The following is a 3,327-nucleotide window of genomic DNA, read 5'->3' as shown; positions in this document are numbered from 1 at the left end:
GTGGTAAGGAGAGATAATACTGAAAGTGTCACTAAGATGGCAATTTTTGACATGAAACCCTTCCAAAGAAAAAGGATTTTAAAAAGTTAGGCAGGTATTGTGGTGCACACCTATCGTCCCAGCTATTGAGGAGGCTGAGGTGGGAGGATCACTTGAGCCCAGGAGGTCAAGGCTGCAGTGAGTTTTGATTGTGCCACTACACTCCAGCCTTGGTGACAGAGCAAGACCCTGACAAACACACACAGACACACACACACACACACACACACACACACACACACACGAAAGAAAAGAAAAGAAAAAAGAAAAGAAAATTGTACCAGTAGAAAAGTGAAGAAGGTCATTTAAATAGAGGACCCTCTACTGCTCAACTTAAAATAGAGCAGGCCATTTAGAGACTAGGGGAAAGTCTGGTGTGTATTAATGAAAGAGGACATTGTAGGAAATGACAGGTAGTCATACCCAGATCCTAAAGAACTCTGTCTGTGGTACTAAGAACTTTAGACTTTATTCTGTGATCAATAGAGGGACTACTAACCACATACGTTTTCTAAGTGGTGGAGTGACATGGTCGGATTCAATTGGTGAGTAACTCTGGGCTTATGTTTTTGCTCTCTCTCTCTTTTTTTTTTTTTTTTTTTTTTTTTTTTTTTTTTTTAAGATATTGTGCATAGGTGTTCTGGGAAGTGGTTCCAAGAAGAGCTTATCATCCTGTACGCTAGCCTCCGGGAGGACAGGGTTGCCTGAGACAGTGTGGGCAGTGGTTGCCTCCTGGCTCAGCCACTGGAGGTCACTGTTGCACCATAGATATGTTCACAAAGCACCGTGATGCCGTTTCCAAGTTGGCTTCTGCCAGGGGTGAATTCATCATCCCCTGGGCAGCTTGGAAGTTCCCTAGTGCAGACATCTCTCTGTCTCCAAGGATTGGCCTGGTCACACAATGTGGTTGAGGGAGAGCTTAGTCTGAGGCAAGAGGGAGAGAGGCTGGAAAGCCTGGTGCAAAGAGGGCTGAGGCAGTCTTCAAATACGGGAAATTTCATGTGGTCTGGATTGCATTATCCTGCGTCTGAAATGGGAGAGGCTGGATGCCCCTTTGGGTCAAGGCGACTTTTCTCTTGCCACTTTCTGGTTTGAATCTGGTTGAGGTAGGGAAGGTTATTATTGTCTTCTGAGTCCCTAGAGATCAGAAGATACAAAACATGTTAGGCATCTCAGGCTCCCTCATAGAGGGAGATCTGGAGATTGGAAGAGGCCTTCCTAGTCCTGCTGGGCTCTGACAACAGAACTGCTACATAGAAAAGGGGAATGGAAACAGAGGCCCGCGCCTTAAACACACCCACTCACCAGTGGTCTGTACCCAGAGCAGGCTTCAACTGAGGCATCCAAGAGAACCATAGAGAAGAGCAGGAACTGATATTTCTAGTGAGAAACTCTGTGTGCCAGGTGTTTTCTATGTTTTCACACTCAGCTCTCATGATACATGTGTGCAGTGGGTATTATTTTTGCTCATTTGCTATTTGAAGAAACCGAGGTGTAGAGCTGACGCTTGAACCGTAAGTCTCCTAAAATACAAAGAGCAAAGATAGTAAAATGACTACTTGTGGGTACCTTTTTAAGAACTTACCTGAGCTTGAAAACTTGGTTTGAGTCATACAGGAGAACGGATCTCTGACCATGCAACTTAGCTAATAACTCATTTTACATTGCTTGAGAGTAACTTCTTCCTAGTAAGTCATAATCTGCTTATGACTTCACATAGGTCCAAAACACTTCTATACACATCAACTAATTTGACCCTTATAATGAGTACCTTATCCCCATTTTTGTAGATAAAGAATCCGAGATTTCAAGAATTTGATTGCCTAAGATCACATAGTTAATTAATGGTGGGATCAAACTCAGATCCTTCTTACTCCAAATGGGGCACTCTTTGCATGACCCGTAATTATACCTCTAGATAAATCTTGCATGATGAAAAGATGTTGTATCATAGCTGAATTAGAAATAAAATGCACTTGCAATTTTTGTAGTACAACATTTTATTTTTAGAGATGAGGAGATTTCAATCCATTAAGTTCCTTGCCCAAAGTTCATACAGCTCTGGGGTGAGTAACATTATCTTCCTAAGTTAAGATTCCCAGATTTAGCAAATAAAATGCAGAACTATTAGAATTTCTAGTATTACATGGGGCCTAATTATACTAAAAAAATACTCATTGTTTATCTGAAATTCAAATTTAACTGGACATCCTGTATTTTATCTGACAACTCTATCCTAAATCCAAAGAGGAAAAGCTAAGTTCACCGTTCTTCTGGACATATTTGAGTTTTGGAAATGCAAATATTTTGAGAAAAGCACTTTGAGCACCCTAAAAAAATGGGAAGACTTTCTGTGATTTTATTCTGGCTTTGCTAACAACACCTCCCTGAGCTGTGCTTGCCCGCTACACCTAATGGATTCATTTTTAAGTACATCCTGAGAAAAAAACAATTGCGAAGCAGTTTTGCAAAATGCAAAGCGCTTCAGGACAATTATAAAAGAAACCAGCCCAGTTAATCATACCAACTACTCAAGGGAAACCAGATCATGGAAAGAAATCCCCAAGGAACATGGAGTAGAATATCCTTCCTATGCACACCTTTAATCAAGATTCAAAAGGAAGACAGCTAGTTCCCTTTGGAAATGATTATGTAATGAAATCAACCCTGCTTTGTACTCCCAGACTAATTACTGGATTTATTCTTTTTACTCAATTTATTTCCATGTATTTGGACATTTTTCATTGATATTCTTCATTATTTTATTAAAACAAACAAAAATAAATAAATAATAGTATTTTGAGCTGACCAGGTACAAGAGTGCTGATTTTAGAACCAGTATTAAAAATTTAAATATTAAGGAAGTTTCATACTTAACTATATCCATAGTTAAATATAAAGGGAATTTCTTAGTCTATTATGTTGTATTATACATTACATATCCTTGTAGGTCCAGGTCTCATAAAGATAAAGCTCTGTGTACATATGATGACCTTTAGTCATTCTGAAAATAAAAAAATGCTGGTTCTTAAAGTCACATGTTAATGAAGTGGACAATAATGCATTTATGGCAATGAGATATCTGAGCCATTTTTACACCTGTTAGGATGGCTATAATAAAAAAACAAAAGGTAACATGCGTTGGTGTGATGTGGAGAAAAGAAAACTCTTGTACACTATTGGTGAGAATTTAAATTAGTACTGTTATTATGGAAAACAGCATGACGTTTTCTAAAAAAAATTTTAAAATAGAACTACCATATGATCCAGCAATCCTCCATCTGCCAT

At 38.9% G+C, this 3,327-nt stretch overlaps 1 annotated feature.

Annotated features, from left to right (window-relative positions):
• Window positions 836-895: a silencer, noted in NCBI's record as "silent region_4008". NCBI's record gives its function as "represses an Ori minimal core promoter by ATAC-STARR-seq in GM12878 lymphoblastoid cells {active_cell/tissue: GM12878}" and the evidence as "EXISTENCE:reporter gene assay evidence [ECO:0000049][PMID:35858748]".

Source organism: Homo sapiens, chromosome 11 (assembly GCF_000001405.40).
Source record: "Homo sapiens chromosome 11, GRCh38.p14 Primary Assembly".
In the NCBI taxonomy this organism is placed as follows: domain Eukaryota; kingdom Metazoa; phylum Chordata; class Mammalia; order Primates; family Hominidae; genus Homo; species Homo sapiens.
This window is presented reverse-complemented; position numbering and strand designations above follow the sequence as displayed.